The sequence below is a fragment of the Homo sapiens genome, chromosome 4 (genome assembly GCF_000001405.40).
Source record: "Homo sapiens chromosome 4, GRCh38.p14 Primary Assembly".
In the NCBI taxonomy this organism is placed as follows: domain Eukaryota; kingdom Metazoa; phylum Chordata; class Mammalia; order Primates; family Hominidae; genus Homo; species Homo sapiens.
In genome coordinates this window covers 85,316,204-85,342,991 of record NC_000004.12, presented here as the reverse complement: position 1 = coordinate 85,342,991, position 26,788 = coordinate 85,316,204, and the positions used below count along the sequence as shown (strand labels likewise).

Sequence of the window (26,788 nt, the reverse complement as noted above, 5' to 3'; positions counted from 1 at the left end):
TCATGGGAAGTGTGGAAAAAGTCCTCAAGATATCTTAAACTTGCTCCCAGAATTCTGGGAACCATGGGAGAGGCAGTGTTGAAAAGAGGCTAGGACCAAAGACAATGGAGCCAGACTGCTCTCATTCCAATCCTAGTTCAGTCACTTACTACCTGCAAATCTTCGGGCAACTAACTTAGCCTTGCATCCATCAATAAAATAAAACTAATAATCTCTCTTTCTCAGGTTTTGGTATGAGAAGCAGATGAATTAATACTTGTAAATCACTTGGAGTATTTCCTGTAGTTACTACCATATAGGCATTTGTTAAAATGAAAGAGAATCATGAGAATCTCAGCCTTGAGTGTGGTGATCTGGGCTTCCATGTGCTATTGGAAAGACTTTTTCTCTAGCTTTGTATATAAATTGCCAAGTGTGACTTTGTATTACAACTTTGCTCTTTATCACCAAGTTATGTCCTCTGGGATAAAGTTCCTCTCCAGGTCTCATCATTACATGTCGGAAGAAACAGACACAGAAGGATTCCATGTGCTGTGCTGATGCTTTCGGTTTGGCCTAGAGGCATCAGCTTATGTAGTTGAAACTTAAAGAATAATTTAATGTCTAGTGAGTATGTTTGGGGACAATGATATTTTACAGTGACAATATCTAATTTGATTATTTTTTAACTGATGATATGGCTAAATCAAGTAACTAAATTGACTTGGTTATTTGATTTATATATAGAGAACTAATCTCAGAAAATGAATCCTAATCAATCCAATAACAATGTGAAAAGTAGATTTAAGAAGTTCTGAAATAAAATCCTGTCTTGAATTTCTAGAGTAGTGATTTCCATTTCAGGGTTTTGGAATTTATAATTATTTTGATCAACAATAAAAATATCAATATAATCTTTCAAAAAGATATAGATAGAATCTGGGGGGAAGATGGTGCTGCAAGTCTGAAGCATAATGAAAAGCTATTGGATACCTTGTGCACTTAGCATTTTTTATGTAATATGCTTTAAATTATATTGACTGTCTCTCAGAAGTTCATGTACTTTGAGTTTTCCAACAGCAGTAATGATCTAAGCTTTCTATTACTACTTTGCAAACAAAGAATTTTTTTTCTCCTCAGAAGCTCTAAATAACTCCACCAGGAATCAAGCATATTTTATTAGAACACTGCACTCAAGAAGAATAAGTGATATCAGAAAGAAAAAAGAAAAAGAAACAAAACCAAAAGAATTTTACCACACGCAAAACAAAGCAAATACAAACTGAAGACCAATAAAATTCAATTCAGTAGGCATTTATTGTGTTTCTACTATTCACAATGATCCTACAAGGAATGGGAAATGTAATAACTAAGAAACAAGCTAACAAGAATTAATAGAATATAGTTCTGGCCCTGGAAAAAAAATATATTCCAGTGCAATCAGGGAGGCTGGCATACAAAATTAATAGTGTGTTGTGGGCTGGGCATGGTGGCTCACGCCTGTAATCCCAGCACTTTGGGAGGCCAAGGGGAGTTTGAGACCAGCCTAACCAACATGGTGAAACCCCATCTTTACTAAAAATACAAAAATTAGCTGGCCATGGTGGCATGCACCTGTAATCCCAGCTACTCAGGAGGCTGAGGCAGGAGAATTGCTTGAACCTGGGAGGCAGAGGTTGCAGTAAGCCAAGATCGCACCACTGCACTCCAGCCTGGGCAACAGAGCGAGACTCCATCTCAAAAAAAAAAAAAAAAATTAGTGTGTTGAGATACATACTGCAAAAGAGCTCTATATACTAGGTCTTCTGAAAGCACAGATGACCAAGTCCAGGTGTTACAGGGGAGATGTAATTGGGCTGGGCCTGACAGAATGACATTTGTCAGGAACAGAGGGAAGGACATGTCCAAACAATAGGGGGAACAAAAAATACTGGCTATTTGTGAAATGAGGATTGGTTTAGATTTTAGGGCAGGAGAGTCTAGGGGTGTAATAGAAATTGTGTCTGGTAAGGTAGGATGGGGTGAGAGTACAAATGGACATGTTTTGCTATACCAAGGAATTTGGAACTTGTCTTTAGGCAGTGGGAATGCCACAGAAGTTTTGTTTGTTTGTTTTTTATCACATAAGAATTTAAGTTTTAGGAAAAAAAAAACTCTAGATGTAGAGAATTAATTGGTATTTTCCCTATAATGTATCTCAGCCATAAAGGTACCCATGTTTGTAAAGTATTTTTCGTATGTAAATTGCCAGAAAGAATGATAGACTGCCTTTTAAAAAGATCACTTGAGTTCATTTTTACCCATTTTCAAATATTTATTTTTTTCCTCCTCTCAATACTAAGAAAAATGATTTTGCTAGTTTTCTGACTTAAAGACTAATGTTGAATAAAAAAGCTCAGATAGATTCAAAGAAAATTATCTACTTTTTTAAACTTTAAAACATTCGGGTTTTATTCCCCCCTTGAAAGAGAAAGTACTATTTATCTACCTTTGTCAAATCTTTTAAAATAGTAACCCAAGAAACACGATGATTCATCTCCTTCTTACTGACTGTTGTACTAAAAACCTGAGACTTCTGCTTGTATCATTTAGTTCTAGCAATCCATGGTCAAGAAGAATCCCACAGACTTCTTTGCCAAGATGCAGTTATGTTTCGGTTGATTTCAAGAGTAGGGAATTAGACTTGTTATGTTTTCATTCTGTCTCCATTTTTCTGAATTTTACTTATGGCAAATCACTGTCCTTGATTGTACCCTAAGTAATTTTTTCTCCATTGTTGTGCAATAGAGCACATAGCTAAGACTTAGATCTTTTCTGATCTGCCTCTCCCATTTGATGATCCCTATGTCATCATTTTAAAGCAGTTCCAAAGCAATCTAGAAGATGGTGATCCTTTTGGAAGATGTCACGTGAATAGCTAGAGTTTATAGAGCAAAGATTTAAAGAAATTACCTTTTTAGGATAATAGTGCCATGTGTAGACATCCATTAACTATAGACTGTCAGGGTGTCATATTGAAGGTTGAGTAACTGTCTCATGATTTGGATGTAGAATATGACTTAGAAAAATGCAAAAGGCAAGGTAATTCGTGAATTCCTTTTTTTCCTCCTTTTTTTAATCAAGTTTTTCAAGGCATAATTACATGCACAATAAAATGCACTCATTTTAAGTTCATAGTTGGGCGAGTTTAAAATGTATATATTTGTGTAACCACCACCAAAATCAATTTAGATATAAACATTTATATCACCCTAAAGCATCCTTTCATGTTTCTTTTCAATCACACTCCTACCTTCGGCTCTTGGCAACCACTAAGAAATAATCACTACAAATTGGATTAAATTTTTATAGAATCCCCTTTCAATGGAATCATAGAATGCATACTTTTTCCTGTGTAGCTTTTTCACTCAGCATAATGTTTTTGAGATTCATCTATGTCATATGACAATAGTTTGTCCCTACTTAGTGTTAGCTAGTATTTCACTTTATGGATATACCAGAATTTGTTTACCCGTTTACCTACTTTTGGGTAATTGGGTTATTTCAAATTTACTCTTTTAAATAAAGATACTGTGTATGTGCATGTATACTTCTTTGTACACACATGGTTTCATTTTTCTTGGGTGAAAACGTAGAAGTGAAATTGCTAAATCATCTGGTGCTGGTGTTTAATTTTTTTTAAGAAGCTGTGAATTGTTTTCTAAAGTAGTTGTACCATTTTATACTTCCAGCAATTTGTGAGGCTTCCAGTTGTTCTATAGTCTTTATGATATTTGCAGTTATCAATATTTTTAATGCTTATCATTCTAATATATAGTGATAGTTTATTGGGCTTTTAATTTGCATTTCTCTGACAGTAAATTATATTGATCATATTTTCAGATGCTTGTTGGTCACTCACGTTTGCCTGTTTTACAGTGTATATTTTTTTCATGCTAATATACTGAATTACAACAATTGATTTACCAGTGCTAACACAACCTTACGTTTCTGGAATTAACCTCTTAGTCATGATTTTATTGTTTTTATTATTACAGTTTTATATGCATATATTTTAAAAAGATATTTTTATCTATGTTTATAAGAGATAATCTGAAGTTTTCATTTTTATATTGTCTGGTTTTGGTTTTGTTATTGTATTCTTTTTATTTTATTTTGGATGCGGGGGTACACGTACATGCTACTTGGGTATATTGCATACTGGTGGGGATTGGACTTCTAGTGTACCCATTATCCAAATAGTGAAGATTTTATTACTGTATTAATTCTGGCTTTAACGTATGCCTAGTTAAGCAGGAGTAGCCTTTAATGTATGCCTAGTTAAGATCTACTCTTATGGCACATCCCTTCTGGAGTTTCAGCTGAATGCTCGGGTGTTCAATGAGGACTCTGCTTTTTGGCTACTCAAAACTCAAATGTCTCCTAGCCCCATGTGAACTCTTGTTCAGATTTCAGCTCCCAGTTTATTTGCCCAGGCTTGTGGAGTTCTACCCTTTGTATTGTGAATTTGCATTAAGCGAAAGAGTGAATAAGGCCCCTATGTGTATTTCTATAGCTTTTTCTCTTGAATGCTTTTTTTTTTCTAGAACTTTGCCCTTCAAATCCCAGCCACCTAGCTTCACTGCACTCAGATCTTTGTCTTCTTAACCCAGCAAGACATTCATGCTGTGTTTTGGATCCCCTCCCTGCACCATGGCCTGGATAGATCCTTCAGTAGAAAGTTGGGAAGATTGTAGGAACCACCTTATTTGTTTCCCTTTCTTTAGGGATCAGCATCCTATGTCACCTGTTGTCTAATATCTGATCATAGTTTTAAAATATATTTTGTTCCTTTTTCTGTTTCTTTTGTTTTTACTGTGAGAGGGTAAGTTCTTTATTATAATCAGAGGTAGAATTTCAGTGCCCTACATTTTGTTGTTGTTTAAAACCAATTGAGTTAGGCACAGTGTCTGATCCTGCACTCTTTGGATAGAGTGAATAAAACACTGCATGAATGAATAAAGCACTGGGTGTTTTTTCTAATTGAGGGGCAATATGTGCCATCTTATTTGAAAGAAGCCATAAATAAACATCCATTCATCAACTGGATAGTCACTGAATCCGAAACCACGTTGGTCAAGTGACAAGACTTAGGAACATGACTAGGATCCCTTAAGAGCTATTTGTTTTTCTAACAATCCAAATATTATTTACAAATAATATTTACAAAATGGTGAATTTTATTAATATTATTTATAAATATTATTATAATTATAAATAATATAAAAATATTATTTATAATATTTATATTTATAATATATTATGATATAATAAATAATATAATAAAAATTTATAAATATTATTTACAAAATGGTGAAAGTGCTTTTGCCTCATTAAAAAAAATCTAGTTAGGCTTATTTAATCACTGTTTTTTCCATCCTCAAAAATAGTACATGAATTAAAACCAGAAAAAAACTCCTAATTTATTTGAATATATGCAGCAAAATTTTATGTAATTTTAGCAGTAGGCTTAAGTTAGCAATGGAGAGGATAACTAAGGCCAGTATGCCATAAAAAATGAATATTGCTATTTTATTTTATTGGCTCAGAATTTCAACATTTAATTTGGTTCCATCAAATATTATAAAGATAACACTGATGATGAACACCATGAGTGCATGTATTTCAGAATCATGATTTTGAATCACGATGAAAATTTGTGTTACTCACCCACACAATTTTGTCTATTTCCTTTTATAACTATAATAAGCAATTATAGAACAATTGCTTGAAGTTAGAGTTTAGCCTGTAAACATAAATTACTGAAACAAACTGGCCCTTTAGGGTGTCAGACTATTGACTTTGGCCTCTAATCAACAGAGTATACCAACCACAAATAATTTTATATATTCCTGGCATTGATGTATAATAGGTATACAGTTTGAAAATTATTATTGTGCTTTTCCATTTTGCCTTTTTGAGTATAAGACATCTGCACTAGTTCCCAAAAGGTAAACATTACCTGGGACTATATTAGGAGCTCATAGTGTAGAATACAAGGAGAAAGACACAGTAATATTCAGCTTCTGACATGAAAAGAAAATTGTGTCATACATTAGTCTTACAGATCTTACCATAGCCCTGAAAGATGGCTGCTGAAATTCCCTTATTCCCTTCTTTAGCATAATAGTAAAGCTAGTTTTTAAGGACTCTCTATATAGTTTTCCCCAACAGTGTAAAGAAGAGACCCCTTCTAAGACAGGCCCTCTCCCCCAAAAGGCTGGCCCTGGGATTTGCATGAAGAGGAGTAGAGAGAGAAAAAAAAATACCAGAACACTTAGATACCTGTGTCCCCATTTCTTTTTGGGGCTTTGGTCAGGGTTAAACTTGGGGGGCATGAATTTAGGGGGGTCACTAAGGATAGGGCTCTGCATGTAGTATTTGTTTGGGTCTTTGGGAGAAGACTACCCACATTAATGTTGGTGGTGGACTATTTCTCAGATGAATACCTTGAAATTTACATTTTCTGAGCTAAAAGTCAGGAGACATTGCAAAGGGCAAGGGGATCCCAACAGCACATGCGGAAGTAGACATGTCAATGAGGGGCCAGGTGGAAGAGGACTCAGACTCAGGAGTCTGCAGCCAGCAAGAGCTGAAAGCAGGCTGAACTGGTAGCGATGAGATGGCTGATACTCCCTATGGGCTGATACTCCCATGGGCTGATACTCCCTATAATTGCCTCTAGAATCAAACCTGAATCATGAATTACTGGCTCTAAACTGCAGCAAAGGAGGTCAGCAGAGCTCACAGAGAGCAGGTCCACAAAAGCCATTGTCTTGTAGAATAGTGGACAACAGGTTGCACATATCTGAGGATTAGCATGAAGTTATTTCCACCAATGGCATGAGGATAGCCAGGCCCACAAGGAAATTTGTGCCATACACTCTACACTTCTCTATTCATGCAGACTCCTTAAAGAAGTTAGAGGGAACAGGAAAATATTAGAGACACTGAACATTTTTATCAAGAGAAAATGAACCCTACATAGATTGGACTAAGCTTTAATCTGGACTAGACAGTTAATTAATTTTTCCCATTACTCACTAGAGTGGAAAACACAGAGATTATTTGAGGACAGGAGTTTGTTGGGACAAATGAAAAAGCTTAATTTCCTCTGCATGTTTAACCTGAATCAAAAGAAATCAATTAATGGCTTATGATTTTATTGCAAACTTTAGACAAATTATTTATCTTTATCTGCATTAGTTTCATTAAAGATATAAACCTAAAATATACAAAGTACCGTTTGAAATACTATGGCAATACGTACACGCATAACTCCATCAATGCATGTGAGAGTGCTCTTATTTTCTGCTGCTCCTCTGTCCTATGTTATTCTCATCCCATGCTGGCACTCACAGTACCATGGCTAACCACTCAAAGGGTTGTTTCTCACTCAGACAAGAAACAGGCTTTACTAGTTTGTCAAAATAGCAACCTGGGCAGCAATCAACTTGGTAGGTAAGAAGAAATTGATTTTGCCCTCCTATACAATGAGGAACCCAAAGATTTTTAAGATATGGTTTCTGCTCTCAGGTGCATAATTTTATCAAGAAGATAAATCATGTATAAATGTTGACTAGTCAATTAGGTACCATATGATGTAGGATGTGTAACTGATGGAGTAAATGATTGCTGCAGGAATTCATAAAAGGAAGAGGGAACTGGAGCCTGGGAACATCAAATAAATGTTCATCAAGGGTGTGGTTCTTGAGATGCACCATGAAACAATTTGAAGCAATGGAGAGGATGAAGGAGGAAATTCACTTATAGCAGGAATGGCCCTCAAATTCCCAATATGCTAGACTAAGTCAAGTATGCTTTGTAAAAGGCATGTAAAAATATGGGTTCAAAACTTGTCTGCCACTTACTGTGTGAACTTGGACAAGTGACCTCAGCTCTTTGAATCCATTTCCTCATCTGTGCAAATGTGGATAATAATACCCAAATCACAGCATTTTGTAGGGTTAAATGAAATAACTTAGAAGGCACTGAGTTCAGTATCTGGTGCATAGCTTAACAACATAATCTAACTCATTTCCTTTCTGTTCATCATTGCTTTTCATCTCTTTTGATTTAGCAAGTTCCCCTTTTCCCCTTACAGCAGATTTTGTTCCATACAAAGTTTTCCCTTTCCATTATTACTTTGTATCACACCCTTTCAATTCCTGTTATGTTAAAAATTCAGAAAGGGTCATTTTATACAAATGCTTATAAAAGTAACCACAAAACCAACAGTATTTAACTCTACTGCCACAGATTTAAATAAATGTAATATGTAGCCTTTTCACAAGCTCTATTTTAAACCCAAAATACAATATGCTATTTCTCATAATAGTTAAAATGACTACATGTGCTAGAGACTTTGTGTTGCAGACATTATATTTTCTTATCATCTGTGAATATGGTTATTATGATCTGTTGGCTATTTTCTGTTTAAATTGCACAGTGTATAGGGGATTTAGACACAGGGTAATTTAGTCATGTGGCTCTTGTCATAACCCTGTCGGGTCAGAGAAATCTGAGTTCAGCTATTCCAGTGTTTGCTTTACTTCATCCTAGCCCTCAGGATAAAGTGGAGGTGAGGAATTCTGCACCTGTGGAATTAATGAATTGATTGAATTCATATCACAATTAATTGGATAATATAATCACGTTTTCTTCTGGAAATAAGAATCTATCTGCATTTTGAATACCCATCCATAAATGGTAAAATTGTATTTCCTATGAGTTTTGCAGGATGGGCACAAAACATGGAGAATTGCCCACAAAAACATCAGTCAGTTTATAGCTAAATAGGTGTTATGTGCAGTGTAGCAGGTTGGGTTACGAACTGACAAGGAGAGACCAACACACGTGCACACACTCCCACCACACATACACACTTTTTTCTCTCTCTCTCTTTCTAGAGCAGAAACAGGTAGAATATTTTTAATAAAGTTTTTCTCTTGCTCTGGATTCTATATACTTGTTTCATTCCTGTACAGTTAGGATCTTGCTAAGATTGGGAGAGATGGTGAATTCTTGCTACTTGCCTGCTCTTTTCTACTTAAGCTTACATCTCATTATTAACATGAATAATCTATGTGCTTCTGTTTAAGGAATTGTTTAAGTATATCAGATTCCCCTGCATCATGAACCTAACTCAGAATTAGCAATGCTAGCTGGCATAGAAAATGGATTCAGTGCCTGAATGTCTCTGAAAAATATCTTTGCATGCGGCTTCCAAATGTCCCAGAACATCTGCCACCCCAGACTAGATACTCACTAAATCCCACTTTTCCTTTTTATCAAACTATTAGTAGATACTCCATCCTACATTTTCCTTTTCTTTCTGGAATGGAAGGGTGAGAGTGGGCTGCTGGAAAGGTGGTACAATGTAACAAGAACCACTAAGAATTTGTGGAGAGAAAGCTGGCAGTTACAGGCCTCACCCAGCTCCCGTGCAGCCCAAAAGGCTGGTCTTACCACAGCGTGTCCCCCCAACAGCACCAAGTTTATTTCCAGGCAGAGGTGAGCAGGGCTGAGAACTTGCCCCAGGCTACAAGCCTCCCCACTGAGAAGACAAGCAGTACTTTCAGATTTTGCAACTCCCTGCCTGCCATGGCTTTTATGCTCATGTCTACACTCCCAGCTCACCTTCTCCCCCAGGTTCTGTCCAGGAAACTTTGCATTTAGTCTTTCCCCAATTCCAGTGGCAGCCCTCCCCAAGGACTCCTGTGAGATAAAGTAAGAAATGGCTTCCCTGGAGGTCTAGAGTGCCCACAAGGTCCTTCTCGCTGCTTCCTCTACCTCTATATTTTGCCCAGCTCTCTAAATTCATCTCAGGTCCACGTAAGATCAAATCCATCTCCTGTGATCTCAATCTTCAGGTTCCCCAGTGAGGGTGTGTGTTCAGGAGTAGATGATCCCCCTTTCACACTTTAGGCACTCACAGTTTTTCAGCTGCCTCCTGGAGCCTGCAGTAGCAATCTGCTCCCAAATTTTTCTTTTCAGTCAAAAGAACAACACAAAAGTCTCATGTCTAAATGCACGAGTCTCTTCAGTACCCCCTTCTTCCATACCTCTTTTCATTATTTTCCAGCAGATAACTGGTCTCATCAAAAATGAGAAATAAACAGAAAGGAATCATACTAGGGCTTAAGCATAAAACTTCAAAAATGACTATGAGAGAGAGAGAAGAAAAACTCATACAGAAATGAAGAGTTTAGACAAATCATTCACTGTAATTATAAATAATAATTCAAACAGCACAATATCTCTTTTAAAATGAAATATCAAGCTGAAAGAGCTCAGAAAGAAATAGAAGAAACCATGGACAAAAAATAATCTAGGCATAAAAATGTCACACAAAATAAAATAATTACTGAGAAAATGATAGGTATGCAAAAGAGATAAAGCGATCTGATATATAATTGATGTTCATAGTGCAGACAGCAAAACAAATGGAACAGGGGAAAAAATTCAAAAATATAGAAGAAAAGATAAGGAAACAAAAATGGAACTGAAAGATTGAAATTGATGATCGCCATGTACCACCAAAAAAAAATGTAGACAATTATCAAAGTTAGAATATATCTCTGGAATATTTGATATAAAAATTTGACAAAAAATGAACAATTCCAAGATATATTTAGAAAAGTTGCAAAACTACAAGGATTTAAAAAGTTATAAGGGATTGGCAGAAAAGGCAGGATACATATAATCCCAAGCAAGGAAGTAGACAAAATTGTGAACCTGCCAATTAATTTATTCACATTTATAGCACGGTCTAATGTGGAAGCACATATTTAAATGTAAACAAACAAAGAAATAAAGAGTGCTATAAGCTTCATGCATTTATTTAGCTTCAGGGAGATATATTAAAATGTAAGCACTTCCTCTTGTTTTAGAGAAACATTTATCCAAAGTCTTTTGCTTCAGGTAATTCAGCAATTACTTTAAATTTCAGAGAATTTTACTTCTGTTAAATGGGATTAAAATTAAATTTAATGCTTATAAATTGAGTGTATATTCTAATGCCTTTATTTTTCAAAAAATAACTTTAAAACCTATCTGTACACAAGGATAGAAAGATGTTTGAAATGTTATCAAATGTTGGTTATTCCTTGGTTGTGAAATGGAATCATGTTGTTTTTTATTCTTTATACTTTCTTCTCTATGTTTTCATACTTTTCTGTATTTTTTAGTTTTTACATAGATTGTTTTTATGAAAATTATAATTATGTATTTTGTGCACATGTACCCTAAAACTTAAAGTATAATAATAAAAAAAAGAAATAAATAGTAACAGACTGGGGTATCCTGTCTTAATCTCTGACTACCTGTTTTAATGATAGAAATGAGTTTTGAAATGTTTTCTCTGCAAATAAGAAATAATTTGCATGTATTTAGTGTATCCATTATGAGAGTCTCATCAATGTCTGCTGACAGGTGTCATGACCACAAGCATTAATTAAACTATGGGGTCTATACACAAAAAGGCCACCCTAAGAATCACATCAGATGGAAGACGTGACAACACAGGCAACTCAAGTGTCAACCCTCTATAACTGTCAACTCAAGGATTAAAATATTTCCAACATCAGTGTGTTTTATTATGTCCCTTTTTGTTACTCATTTATACAGTACTCTGAGGCACACTGAATAATATTTTATCTTTATCTATTTCTATTCAGGAAACTGAAGCTAGCCTAGTAATAGTCACACTTTAATATCAATCTATATTTATAGCAAAAGACTCAGTGTACAGGTTACAAAAAATCAGTGAATTGTGTGAGTTGATTTTTGATGATTGCCATGATCCTATAGTTACACTGTACATGCCCAAATCAGAATACTTTTCTTAATCCTTTAGCAATTATCTTAACTGAGATTCTCATAATCCTAGCTAAGATGGGGGGAGTCTCCTAAATGACCCTCTTGTTCTTTTCCCCAAGCCCCATTCCCATTGATCCTCTACAGTGTACCATTCCAGAATAATTTTTCTGAAAGTCAAATCTGTTTCTCTTGCCTCTATTCTTAAAAAAGTTATTTAATAAGTACCCATTGCCTTTCCTTTACAATCTAAATCCTGCTATATTATAGAAAGTTCATTATGACCTGGTTCCTCCCTCCCTATGTAAATCAATTTTAGAGGGGAATAATGTTTCCCCACTTGGAGTGGACATGAGGAAGGATTATTCTTCAGCATAGGCCTAGCCTCTCTCCACACTTTACATAGTCCCGTGAGAGGTAGAGATGTGATTGGTAAATCTGGGGAGAATAAACTAGAATATGCATGGCAAGCATCATTTCTTCTTGATCTGGGAAGCGAGCTGCTCCTGAGCACCATGACTTCTACCCCTCCTCTGGGTCTTTGTTTGCCATGGTCCCTTCCTTCTTTCACTGGGCCAAGAAATCAAATCCATCCTGGGCTTCAGAATTACCGAATTTATTTGGCTACCAAACCTAAAACCACATGCTCAGTCTGGCCTCTATTAGTAGAAAACAAACAAACAAAAAGAAATATTTTTCCCCCATTTGCTACTTTTGATTTATTTCCCAACTACTTTTTAAGAATCCAGGTGGAAAAGAAGGGTGCTGTTCTCTGGATGCCTCCTCCAAAAACCCCAATAAAATCTCACATTTTATGGAGGGATTACATTTGGTCAAAGACTGCATTGCTGAGTGCTGTAGTATGGGTTGTATCATTGAGTTATGACAGCTCTCCATCTCTACACAGCTTCCTCCTCTGGGCCCTTGCCTCCGTGGGGTTCCTCAACCTCTCTCACCACCCCATGTCCTCAACCTCCATGTCATCTCCTCCTAGCTACAAAGGAAAGGGAAGATTCCATATTTTATTTTGCAAAATAATAATAAAATACAAATTTTAGGATAAATCAAGAAATAGAACTTGTAAAGTGGTCACATAGGCTGATTTCCTATGAAATGTTAAGTTCAAGCAATATTTAGTTGTTATACACACTTTTTAAAACTTTTGGCTGAAATGTTTAAATATTCGGTGATGCAAGTGGTTCTGGGCCCTGAAGCTTATGTTTCTAGCATGGTGGTTAAGGATAGGATTAGAAGAAAGGGATTTCCTGACTATAACTAAGCTACTTGGGGGAATTTTTAATCCAGAGTTCCTTCTTGGCAACAAAAGAACATTCCCAGTCTTTTGATTTTTCCCTGGTATACAATTTTAGGGCCTCGGTGAAAATGAATTTTATATATTTTTATTATTATTATTTTGAGACACAGTCTCACTCTGTCCCCAGGCTGGAGTGCAGTGGTGCGTTTTGGTTCACTGCAAGCTCTGCCTCCCGGGTTCAAGTGATTCTCCTGCCTCAGCCTCCTGAGTAGCTGGGATTACAGGCACGTGCCACCATGCCCAGCTAATTTTTGTACTTTTAGTAGAGATGGGGTTTCACCATGTTGGCCAGGATGGTCTCGATCTCCTGACCTCATGATCCGCCTGCCTCAGCCTCCAAAGTGCTGGGATTACAGGCCTGAACCACGATGCCTGGCCATGAATTATATTTTTTATCGTGGTAAAATCCAATTAGAACTTGACCCCTGGTAAAATAACATTATATGTTTCTTTTTAATTGTTTTTGCAGACAAAGGACATAATGTCTCCCTAAATAAATTAGAGAAACATGCTTATCAAAAGAGTAAACAAGTGTGATTCCTTAAAAAAAGGAGTTTCATAGAAGGTTTTTACTTATTATTTGTTATCATTTAGCATATATTTGCAGGCAGATTATAGGGAAAGGAAGAGTTATGTTGGGTGACCTTGCTTAAGAATAATTGTCTTATTGCTTAAATATAAGACATCAATATAAATATTGCTTAAATATAAATATCAATTGCTTAAAAATAATTGATATTATTTTTACTACCCTTTGTTCCCATGAAAGGACATGTTATTGCATCATTACATGATGAGTGCCTGAATGTTCAGTTCAATGTAGCAGTTTTCCAGAATCTCATAAAACATCATATTTCCCTTCTTTTCTGATTCTTAGTCCTATTTTTTTTCTGTTATGTTTCTGATACAGGGTTCATGACAAAAAGTGAATTCTATAATTGCTGAAATAAAAAATACCATTAATAAATATATTTACGGAGCAATAAAAATAGACTCAAGTAAGAATAAAGTTATTTTTACTGCTCTTCCATATTTGAAGCAATATTTAATATTAAGCTATAGCATAATAAATAAGAAATAAGAGGAAAACTACATATATGTATTCTAAAAAATAAAACATTAGAGGTGTATTAATATCTTAAGATAATTAGATGTATAAGAGATTTTTTATTTCTTGCAATAAATAGTAAAAACTTCATATTAAAAATCTATGTTTAATTGCTCTGTTAAAGTATATTAGAAACCAGAAACTTAGCATTCTTATTTCATTAATTTTGTTTAAAACATTCAGAGAGAAAATGTATAGGAACAGCACACAGCCAAATAACTCGTAATTTGTAATAAGTGAGACAAACCTTTTCCAAGGAAATATAGTTTCAAAATTGAATCAATATCTTATTTTAGTTATTTTTTTCCATTAAAATTGAAATTAGTAGCAATTGTCAGCCATCAAGACAATATTTCAACTTAATCTGAAAGTGTCGCTTTCTGAAAGCAGAATATCAAGGCAGTAGCAGCAGAATGGACTGGGAACTTTCTTTTTTTTTAATTTATACTTTTTTTATTATACTTTAAGTTTTAGGGTACATGTGCACAATGTGCAGGTTTGTTACATATGTATACATGTGCCATGTTCGTGTGCTGCACCCATTAACTCATCATTTACATTAGGTATATCTCATAACGCTATCCCTCCCACCTCACCCCACATCACGACAGGACCCCGTGTGTGATGTTCCCCTTCCTGTGTCCATGTTCTCATTGTTCAATTCCCACCTATGAATGAGAACATGCCATGCGGTGTTTGGTTTTTTGTCCTTGCAATAGTTTGCTGAAAATGATGGTTTTCAGCTTCATCCATGTCCCTACAAAGGACATGAACTTACCATTTTTTATGACTGCATAGTATTCCATGGTGTATATGTGCCACATTTTCTTAATCCAGTCTATCATTGTTGGACATTTAGGTTGGTTCCAAGTCTTTGCTATTGTGAATAGTGCCACAATAAACATACATGTGCATGTGTCTTTATAGCAGCATGATTTATATTCCTTTGGGTATATACCCAGTAATGGGATGGCTGGGTCAAATGGTATTTCTAGTTCTAGATCCCTGAGGAATCGCCACACTGACTTCCACAATGGTTGAACTACTTTAGAGTCCCACCAATAGTGTAAAAGTGTTCCTATTTCTCCACATCCTCTCCAGCACCTGTTGTTTCCTGACTTTTTAATGATTGCCATTCTAACTGGTGTGAGATGGTATCTCATTGTGGTTTTGATTTGTATTTCTCTGATGGCCAGTGATGATGAGCATTTTTTCATGTGTTTTTTGGCTGCATAAATGTCTTCTTTTGAGAAGTGTCTGTTCATATCCTTTGCCCACTTGTTGATGGGGTTGTTTGTTTTTTCTTGTAAATTTGTTTGAGTTCATTGGAGATTCTGGATATTAGCCCTTTGTCAGATGAGTAGATTGCAAAAATTTTCTCCCATTCTGTAGGTTGCCTGTTCACTCTGATGGTATTTTCTTTTGCTGTGCAGAAGCTCTTTAGTTTAATTAGATCCCATTTGTCAATTTTGGCTTTTGTTGCCATTGCTTTTGGTGTTTTAGACATGAAGTCCTTGCCCATGCCTATGTCCTGAATGGTATTGCCTAGGTTTTCTTCTAGGGTTTTTATGGTTTTAGGTCTAACATTTAAGTCTTTAATCCATCTTGAATTAATTTTTCTTTAAGGTGTAAGGAAGGGATCCAGTTTCAGCTTTCTACATATGGCTAGCCAGTTTTCCCAGCACCATTTATTAAATAGGGAATCCTTTCCCCATTGCTTGTTTTTGTCAGGTTTGTCAAAGATAAGATAGTTGTAGATGTGTGGCATTATTTCTGAGGGCTCTGTTCTGTTCCATTGGTCTATATCTCTGTTTTGGTACCAGTACCATGCTGTTTTGGTTACTGAAGCCTTGTAGTATAGTTTGAGGTCAGGTAGCGTGATGCCTCCAGCTTTGTTCTTTTGGCTTAGGATTGACTTGGCAATGCTGGCTCTTTTTTGGCTCCATATGAACTTTAAAGTAGTTTTTTCCAGTTCTGTGAAGACAGTCATTCTTCACATTCATTGGCATTGAATCTACAAATTACCTTGGGCAGTATGGCCATTTTCACGATATTGATTCTTCCTACCCATGAGCATGGAATGTGCTTCCGTTTGTTTGTATCCTCTTTTATTTCATTGAGCAGTGGCTTGTAGTTCTCCTTGAAGAGGTCCTTCACATCCCTTGTAAGTTGGATTCCTAGGTATTTTATTCTCTTTGAAGCAACTGTGAATGGGAGTTCACTCATGATTTGGCTCTCTGTTTGTCTGTTATTTGTGCATAAGAATGCTTGTGATTTTTGCACATTGATTTTGTATCCTGAGACTTTGCTGAAGTTGCTTATCAGCTTAAGGAGATTTTGGGCTGAGACGATGGGGTTTTCTAGATATACAATCATGCCATCTGCAAACAGAGACAATTTGACTTCCTCTTTTCCTAATCGAATACCCTTTATTTCCTTCTCCTGCCTGATTGCCCTGGTCAGAACTTCCAACACTATGTTGAATAGGAGTGGTGAGAGAGGGCATCCCTGTCTTGTGCCAGTTTTCAAAAGGAATGCTTCCCGTTTTTGCCCATTCTGTATGATATTGACTGTGGGTTTGTCATAAATAGCTTTTATTATTTTGAAATATGTCCCATCAATACCTAATGTATTGAGAGTTTTTAGCATGAAGGGCTGTTGCATTTTGTCAAAGGCCTTTTCTGCATCTATTGAGATAATCATGTGGTTTTTGTTGTTGGTTCTGTTCATATGCTGGATTACGTTTATTGATTTGCATATGTTGAACCAGCCTTGCATCCCAGGGATAAAGTTCAGTTGATCATGGTGGATAAGCTTTTCGATGTGTTGCTGGATTTGGTTTGCCATTATTTTATTGAGGATTTTTGCATCGGTGTTCATCAGGGATATTGGTCTAAAATTCTCTTTTTTTGTTGTGTCTCTTCCAGGCTTTGGTATCAGGATGATGCTGGCCTCATAAAATGAGTTAGGGAAGATTCCTTCTTTTTCTATTTATTGGAATAGTTTCAGAAGGAAGGGTACTTTCTCCTCCTTGTACCTCTGGTAGAATTCAGCTGTGAATCTGTCTGGTCCTGGACTTTTTTTGGTTGGTAAGCTATTAATTATTGCCTCAATTTCAGAGCCTGTTATTGGTCTATTCAGAGATTCAATTTCTTCCTGGTTTAGTTTGGGAGGGTGTACATGTCCAGTAATTTATCCATTTCTTCTAGATTTTCTGGTTTATTTCCATAGAGGTGTTTATAGTATTTTCTGATGGTAGTTTGTATTTCTGTGGGATCGGTGGTGATATCCCCTTTATCATTTTTTATAGCATCTACTTGATTCTTCTCTCTTTTCTTCTTTATTAGTCTTGCTAGTGGTCTACCAATTTTGTTGATCTTTTAAAAAAACCAGCTCCTGGATTCATTAATTTTTTGAAGGGTTTTTTGTGCCTCTATTTCCTTCAGTTCTCCTCTGATCTTAGTTATTTCTTGCCTTCTGCTAGCTTTAGAATGTGTTTGCTCTTGCTTCTCTAGTTCTTTTAATTGTGATGTTAGGGTGTCAATTTTAGATCGTTCCTGCTTTCTCTTGTGGGCATTTAGTGCTATAAATTTCCCTCTACACACTGCTTTAAATGTGTCCCAGAGATTCTGGTATGTTGTGTCTTTGTTCTCGTTGGTTTCAAAGAACATCTTTATTTCTGCCTTCATTTCATTATATACCCACTTTTCATTCAGGAGCAGGTTGTTCAGTTTCCATGCAGTTGAGTGGTTTTGAGTGAGTTTTTAAGTTTTTAAACTCTGAGTTCTAGTTTGATTGCACTGTGGTCTGAGAGATAGTTTGTTATAATTTCTGTTATTTTACATTTGCTGAGGAGTGCTTTACTTCCAACTATGTGGTCAATTTTGGAATAAGTGTGGTGTAGTGTTGAGAAGAATGTATATTCTGTTGATTTGGGGCGGAGAGTTCTGTAGGTGTCTTTTAGGTCCGCTTGGTGCAGAGCTGAGTTCAATTCCTGGATATCCTTGTTAACTTTCTGTCTCGTTGATCTGTCTAATGTTGACAGTGGGGTGTTAAAGTCTCCCATTATTATTGTGTGGGAACTTTCTATTAGATTAGTCATCAAGTTAGAGATTGAAGAGATCATTTATTTCTTCCAAAATAAATGATATCCCTCTAGCGAAAATACAATTTATAAATTAGTATCTACTAACAGTAATCAGATACTTTTAGTATGAAAAGTAATCAGATACGTTTAGTATGAAAAGTAATCAGATTCTTGACCTTAGTCAAATTACTGAGAAGTTAAATGTAAAACTAACCTTAATGTCTAAACACATGCAGACATTATTGCTTTTGTAGAAAATACTTCTAGGCCAGGCAGAAATAATAGGTCTGAAATGTGACAAAACCCATTACCTGACTCCTCTCAGCAGATGGTCAGGAATGCAGAGGTAAAGGCAGGCAATTGCAGGACTATTAGTCTCTCAACATGGCTGGATAGACATCAAATCGATTACAACCCAAGCTAAGCAAATCCATGCCACTTCAATCAGTGCTATTTTCAGTAGCTGTGCAAAAGCTGTTTGATGATGATATGCCAACTTTTAGCTTATTAGGTATGACTATAATTTGCACAAAACAATGTATGATATTGTGCTGAAAACAACACATCTACATGGTAGATCTAAATTTCTGAGATTGGACTGAGATTTCTTTTCATTCCTGTTATTGATCTAATGCCAACCTTCCTGAGTTTCAAGTTTATTTTCTGCCAGTATGTTGCCAAATATCAGGCAGGTTAAGAAGATGATATTTTTCCAAAATTAAGATTCACAGAAAATACGATTCTATAAAACCTCAAATAATAACATTACAATTTATAATACACTATTTACACAAAAGAAGTAGTGTTCATTCAAATTAAAAGAACCTGTCTAAATTTGATAAGAGAAAATGATTTTCAACGGAATGTCTTATAAACTCTTGAATGTGTTTGAGTATATTGCAGCTATCCATTAAGAATAGCAAAAGTTAAAAGATATTGATTTGCTTTTACAAGTAAGGGTTTATTTTCTTTTACTTGGCTTCATAGGCAATGAAATTATGGTCAACTTTGTGCTCTCATGGATTTGGATAGAAAAGAACTTCTGAGTGCCCTTTTCTCACCCTTCACTCTTTCTGCCTCCACTTCTTAATTTGAGTAAGAACCTCTTCTGCTTGACTGTTAGATACAAGTGTTTGTGTTTTTATGCTATGCCATTAAAACATTTTTATTTATCAATTTATTCACTCAAAAATCCATTTTTGCTATTGGGCAACTGTTCTGGGACAGGAAATGCCCTGCTTATCCATAAGGTCTATTTTAGAAGATGCTACAGGATCAGCGCTGGCTACCTAATTTGCAAGTGCAGTGCAAATTGAAAACATGAGGTCCTTTGAACAAAAATTATTGAGATTTTTAAGAACATTAACCAAGGGTAGGGCAATTGTACAGACTGCGTGCCCATCAAGCTGGCCCTGCAGGTGATTTTAGCACTGAGCTTTCTTTATTTTTTTCAGTGTGAAAAAACCTCATGATTTATGTCTGCTTAGAATTTTTTTAAAACTATGGAATAACATCAAAGGACAACAATGCCCTTTACTAATAGTATATATGTTTATATTTATGTACACATTATTTATTTAATTCAGAAGCACATGTTTCCAGGAAGGGTCAGTGATGCTTTTGCATAATGCCGTTATACAAAATTTCTTTTCTTTCTTTCTTTTTTTTTTTTGCTTACAGAACTAAATGCTTCAGAGATAAAGAAGCACAAATGGTGGTCTGTATAATTTGATTCTAGGGTCCCTTCCACATTAAGAATAATTCCTTTCTCTGATATGAATAAATAGCCAATTAAACAAACAACCAACCTACAAGACCTGTGATATTAAGCGTGGAAGTACGGTCAACTATAAACACAGCATAGAAAGATCTTTGTTTCTAGAAACAAATCAAACTCAGAATAAGGTGAATTTAAACTGCATTTATTGATTCAACAAATATTTAATTAAGTCCCTCCAATGTATCAGGCATTCTTCTAGGTGTTGGGAATACAGGTGGGACCAAAACAGACAAAGATGTTTGTCCTCATGGAGCTCAAAATCTAATAATTGATAGCACAAAAAATAATCATGAAGCTGACACCCATGTATAAATTTGTAATCTTTCTTTACTACTTATTTTATGAGAGAGCACTGAATCCTAACCACTAGACCACCAGGGAAACTACTAATTTTAAAAGAAGGTTTTCTTAGAAGGCAAACACTGGGAATCTCTATTCATTTATTCATTCAACAAAAACAAGTTCTGGATCTTAAAATTTAGGATTTGCTCTATAATTATGCAGTCACAATAGTAAACTATATTGTTACTGTAAGAAAAGTAATTTTGACTGCATCCTAGGCTTATCTCACAATTCTGTCTTATTTCACAGTTCTGTCTTATCAATGCCTTCAAAAAGTTTAATTGTCCTATCCAGGGATTGCCAATATGTGACAGTTACACCACTATTTTTCTTTCCTTTGCCCCTGATAAAGGACACTAACAGATTTGATCTCCTTTATCCTCTGAAATTAAAGATAGCTTGGCAAAAATCTGCTAAGGTTAACCTTCAGCCTTCTACAATAAATCCTATAATTGGCTAATAAGGTAAAACCTAATTGCCATTTTTTGCTAAGCCTGGAATTCAAAGCCCACAGTTGATCTCTGAATGGTAGGCATAATATTTAGGAAGAATGATAAATTTATGAACAAGCTGTATTACTGAAGGTAATCTAACTACTATAAATAACAGTTCTAAAATCTTGGCTTAATAAAATGCAGATTAATTTTTTATTCACTTCATAAGCAGCTTGCCAGAGGATTGGGGGTGTGTGGTAGGGCTCTACTCCATGCAGTTACTCAGGGAACTAGTTTGTTTTTTTTGTTTTTTTTTTTTTTCCCCAATGCCACCATTCCCTGTGGCCTTAAAGTCTTCCACTGAATCTTCCTTCTAGAGCTATGGGAATGGGGAAAGAAGAGTATTAAAACCTGGCAAGAGGGCTTTTTAAGTGTCAGGCCTGTAGGTGGAATATTTTATTTTTGCCCGCATTCCATTGGTCAGAACTCAATCATAGGCTCATTCTTCCCAATGCAAGGAATGTTAAGAAATACAACCTGTCTATGTGCCCAAGAAAGAAATGAAATGAGATTTGAGGAATACATTGCATGACTCTACCACATCAGCCTCAAGCAGAGGTAAGATTATGATGTATTATGTCAATGTGAACTTCATTTACTACCAATAAATAATTCTCAGCTTATAGCACCCAGTCACTTAATAATACATTGAATTCAGCATTAGTAACAGTATTGAAAGGAGTTAGCCAGCTTGCTTTGGGCAGACAGTAAGGGAAGGGTCCCTGGAGAACCATCAACCCACCTCAAAAGTGCTTATACCAGGTGTTTTATGCAGATAAGGGAACTTGCACAAAGGGCTTGCCTAAACATGCCCAAAGTGGAAAACTTAGTTCCTTAACACATGCGCAGTAAGAGAAATGAATCAATATGGAGTAGCTCAGTCTAAGGGCCCACATACGCACAGGAAGGATGGTGTGGAGCCACCAGGAACTCACACCATAAGCCCGGGTATTGAACTGTAAAGGGGACAACTGGCAACCTGCTTTTCAGGTCCCCTCTCTTTGCTGAGAGTTTTCCTTTCACTTAATAAATTCTACTCCACCCATTCTCTAGGGTCTGCATGCTTAATTCTTCCTGGTCATGAGACAAGAACTTGGACCTAGCTTAACTAAGGAGTAGAAATCCTGCATTATTTTGGTGGCCCATATGGAGACACCTGGAGGGTGAGTAAATGCAGACCCAAACCTTTCACTCTCATCCCCAAGTCTTTTCATCTTCAACCTTTTTTCTGAAGTTGGCCAAGACCCTCAGACTTTTCTATGGATTTTTCCTTCCTTTCTTCATGGTTGGAAATGGCCCCTATCTTTTCTTTTATAATGTTAAAAGTGCTGCTGCAAACTGCAGAGATATTACTACGTAGAATGAGCATTTGGCCCAGCCATCAGATATGCAATTCAGAACAATGTGATTTCCATCTGTTCCTAAAGGCATCCCCCACCCACACCCCAACAGCCAAGGGTATGCATGCAGGACAGACGGGTGAGCGGCGGCTCCCCAACTGCACCAGGTGGGGTGCATGGCCATGTCTGCCACATGCATATGCTGCATCCAATGACCATGTGGGGCAGGAATGAGACACAGCCACCACTCATCCCCAGGGTGGTCTTGGGGGCCAAGAGCTCCATGCAGCCAGCTGGTCAGTTTTTCCTGCTCACCATCCCCTCCCACCATGTGCCCACAGAGGCTTTCCTTCCCTGGCCAAGCCAAGAAGAGGATAAAACAATTAAGAGTTTCTCTCCCTGTTGGAGGAGCCCATTTGCATAAAGCAAGAGGCTTTTTGTCCCCCAGACATCTTCCCCACACTTAAGCTGTTTTTTCATCTTATTTTGTTTTTCTCTTTTCTCCACCATACCAACCATACCAGGAGTTAGCACATGCACATAGCCCTGTGAATACAGGGAGCTTTTCTATGAGAGAGGTTTTTTTTTTGTTTTTTGTTTTTTTTTTCCCTACCTTAACACTCTGCTTATGATAGGGAAGCAATGGAGGAGTGACCCCATAGGCTGCTGGCTGCAAATTTGGTGACAGCCATCTGTGACATAATCTAAATTAATTCATGTATCCCCTGAGGTACGCTTTTGTCCCAAACTCAATTCCAGGCTTTGGGTTGAAACCATAAGAGGGAAAACTGGATCTAAGGGATGCAGAGGGAGGCAACAACAGAAGATGGGGCACAACGCAGGTGAGCATGACTAATTCTTACTGGATAGGCCCTCCCACTTCATGGTTGAAGGTTATACTTGCATGCATGGCATAGACAAGATCTAGGAACTCAAAAGTTACTCACAGCAGGGAAGAGGCAGTGCATGGGCAAATATGGATAACTCCCACCCCTTAGGCCTCACTGTTAACATGGGTGAAAGCTGTGTTGGCATCCATGGGCAGCACCCTACTGAGGTCACCAGGACTTGGGGATATAAAATGGGAGAAAGAAGGGGGATGCCTCTTCTTCTCTCCCTCACATACTTTGGCTATTTGCTTGGAAGATAAAGGAACTAGGGATTCCTTGTTCCCCTCTTTCTAGATGGTTAGCCAATCATCTTCAGTCTGTATTTTTCTCAAATACCTCATGAATCCCTGGGACTCCTTTGGATAAAACACATTCTTTTTTCTCCTCTGTTTTCCTTTTGCAGATGAATAATTGTGTCCCTGTACCACAGGACACTCCTCCTCAGATGCATACCCAAATTGGGAAAAGTTAATTTCTCTAAACCTTAAACTACTTGGCTTAAAATTGAACTCAGGGGAAGGGAACACAGAAGCCAGACACGCCAGCAAAAGTGTAAAAGTTCTTAACAGTCAGACTTCTGGTCTCCCTCTCCCTGTGCAAACCAGTTGAATGAATAATATAATCACAGTTTATATCCTCTGTAAAGTTTTAATTAATGAAAAAAAGGATTTATGAGGCTAGTCTTAAGCTGTGGTGAATCTGTTGTACTTTGTGCCAAGAATTTGTCTTTCTCTATCTTTCTATCAGAAAGAGGAGTACCTTAGGATAGAATGCATCCCTAGAAACCGATAAGCCCTCTATTCAAGCCAGCCCAGCAAACTGGTCAGTAACAAACTTTGCTGCAGGTCTCCATCTTGTTTTATGTCCTTGGGAGCATAACCTGTAACAACATGGCAGTACTTTGTTTTGGTCTCTGCCATTTTACAATGGTGACCTGGGTTCAATCCTGGCTTAGGGAATGAGTACTTTTTGGTTAATATCTGTGTGACTTTTGTCATTTGCTGATTCTCTTCCCCTGCATGAACAACTTATAGCTTCCTTTCTTAAGTCTTCCTTCCTCTGAAATACCTTTAAATATTCTGGATTTTGTAAAATCTGCTTACCACCTCTTTGAAGGTACCCTGTACACTTGCTGTTAAGTCATAGCCTTAGTTGAGACTTGTTGGTTTCACCTGTGGTTTCTGACTCACAATTTAATATCAGGAAGGAGGCCTGGAGAGGGCCAAATTCTATTGACTGATGTCCAGCCCTTAGAAAACACTTGTTGATCAACAGTTTTGCTGCTCTACTCATTAGGTGTAGCTGTTAGAGAATAAGAAATTGATTAAAATTGCTGGGCAAGAATGTGAAAAATGATTGGCTTACTGTGAGATGCAAGAGAAAAAGATCAGCAGGTGGCAGTGTGTGTGAAAGCTGTTTTCTAAATAAAATAGAAAGCATTTTAAGGCTACTCCCAAGAGAAAAGTAGCTGATGAAAGTCATACATTCCAACACAATGGGCCTGGGGAATAATATTTTTTAGATTAAAAACATTGTTTATTTTTTTCCATTTGCAGTGGAAAAAATCTTGTTTTAAAGAATACATTAAGAGCCCTAAACCACGTTTTCAATTAGGTGGTTTAGAAGACTAGTAGGGAGGCAAAATGTACCAATTTCAGAAACTAATTTTATTCATTCTCAAAATTCCATTATGATAGTACTTTATTATATACTCTGAAATTAAATTTAAAAAAGAAACTCTTTATTAAGAGAGAAATAAAAGAAATCTTACATATACTCACAAATATTTCATTTCCTGAGAAAATACACAATAAAATTTGTGTTTTATTTTTTAGCCAAATAATTTTTCTTTAATTTACATTTATGCAAAGTAGCAAGCCCACAGGTGATCCAATTCTCTCATTTTAAAGAGAAAAAACAGAAGTGAAATGTTTTCTCAAATCACAAAATGAAGTAATACAACTGAAACTCTAGAATGTGAATTCACAGTTCTTTTTACTGAAAATACTAAGCTCAAATGAGATTTTTTTTAAAGTGTTGCTTTGTGTCTATAGTCAGCAGATGATGGATACTAATTATAATTTTACATATTTTAATTTACACATTATTTGCATTCGATTATATTTCAGATACAAACTGTAAATCCAAGCATACAATGTAAAATGAATATTTTCATTAAATCTTCTCCAGTAGAATTTTAAATATAATTGTCTAGACACCTCTGAAAATATGCCACAGATAATTTTATCACAAGAAAAGTGTGACAATTTAAAGTAAAGAGTAAGGCTCTTTTACCCCCTTCTCAGAATTCAGAGCTATGATTCTAAGAGACTTGAATGGTGGGACTCAGTATAGCTATAAGCTATAATCAGGTTTAAAGGGGAAAATCAATATAACAGTTCCTAAAATTAGGGAAACAAATAGTAGTCTTATAAAACAAACAATCTCTGGAGAACAGACGTGAATTATCTGTCAAGCACACAACACATTTTCAGGATAAAATTGTGCAGAATACAATAGTAGAACAGAGTTTCCTCTGGAGTAGTAGCACAAATGAGAACTACAAAGAATTGACAATTTAGCTTGAGCAAATCTGAATCGTATTCAAATGCATTTCCTCTGTTTATAAAAACACATTCCTTACCATTAAGGAGCTCATAGTCTAGTTGGGAGACTAATGTATTTGAAACAGTAATGGATGTTTTCTTCCTTTTCTAGTGTTTTTAACTCTCCCCTCCATTTGTGCAATAATATGATCTTGTAACATACAAGCTTCAAGGAAGATTTATTACTGTAGAGTATGTAAATGTTTTCAAAAGCCTAGCCTGTGAGGGAACTCAGAGCAAAGAAATCCAATGAGTTAGAGCTAAATTCCCTGCCTTCAAGACAGAATATAAATTCCATAGGTTCCAAGGAGGGAAACTTGACTGAACAGGGAGGAAACAGTAGGGGTTGGCAGGGATGAAAGATCTATAGAGCTTAACGTGGGGTAACCAGATCTTCAGGGGTTCTGCTGGGAGGAGTCGAATCAGCCACCTTGCCTCCAGCTCTGGTCCAATTTAGATCACCTTAATCTACAACCTGTCTGATAGCCTCACTGGGCAGCTGCCTACCATTGTGAGAGCTGTGGACTCCACAATTCTGGGGAGTTACTATTCAAATAAATTATAATATGAATGCCACTCCCTGAGGTTTGTCACCATACAGAACAACCCTACAAGTCTCATGGGTGCCAATGTAGCCCTTGAAGATTGCCCAGTTTCTATCCACGGCACATTGCCTATGGTTAAAAATCATGTTATGTGTCCTTTCAGGTGGCATCTGGTGAGCTTTTTCTTTGGTGGCAACCAGCTACACCTCATCCCTTGACCATCCAGTAGGCTGTCTGTGCCCTAAAACTTTATTGACTACTTGAGCCATCATCCAATTTAATTTCAATTCAACATTCAAAGACACATACAGCTATACAATTTTGTAATGCTGTTATAGAATTAAGAATAAGATGGATAAAAATGCATAGGAAGTAACTTTACCTTGTGTTAGTGATAAGAGATTAGGGAAATTTTTAAGAAAAATTGTGGAAAGACCAGGGAAATT

The 26,788-nt window shown here is 36.4% G+C and overlaps 1 annotated feature.

Moving 5' to 3' along the window:
* Positions 21,216-22,415: an enhancer, noted in NCBI's record as "MED14-independent group 3 enhancer chr4:86241730-86242929 (GRCh37/hg19 assembly coordinates)". NCBI's record gives its function as "activates an origin of replication core promoter dependent on BRD2, BRD4, P300/CBP and CDK7 cofactors, and independent of MED14, by STARR-seq in HCT116 cells {active_cell/tissue: HCT116}" and the evidence as "EXISTENCE:reporter gene assay evidence [ECO:0000049][PMID:35650434]".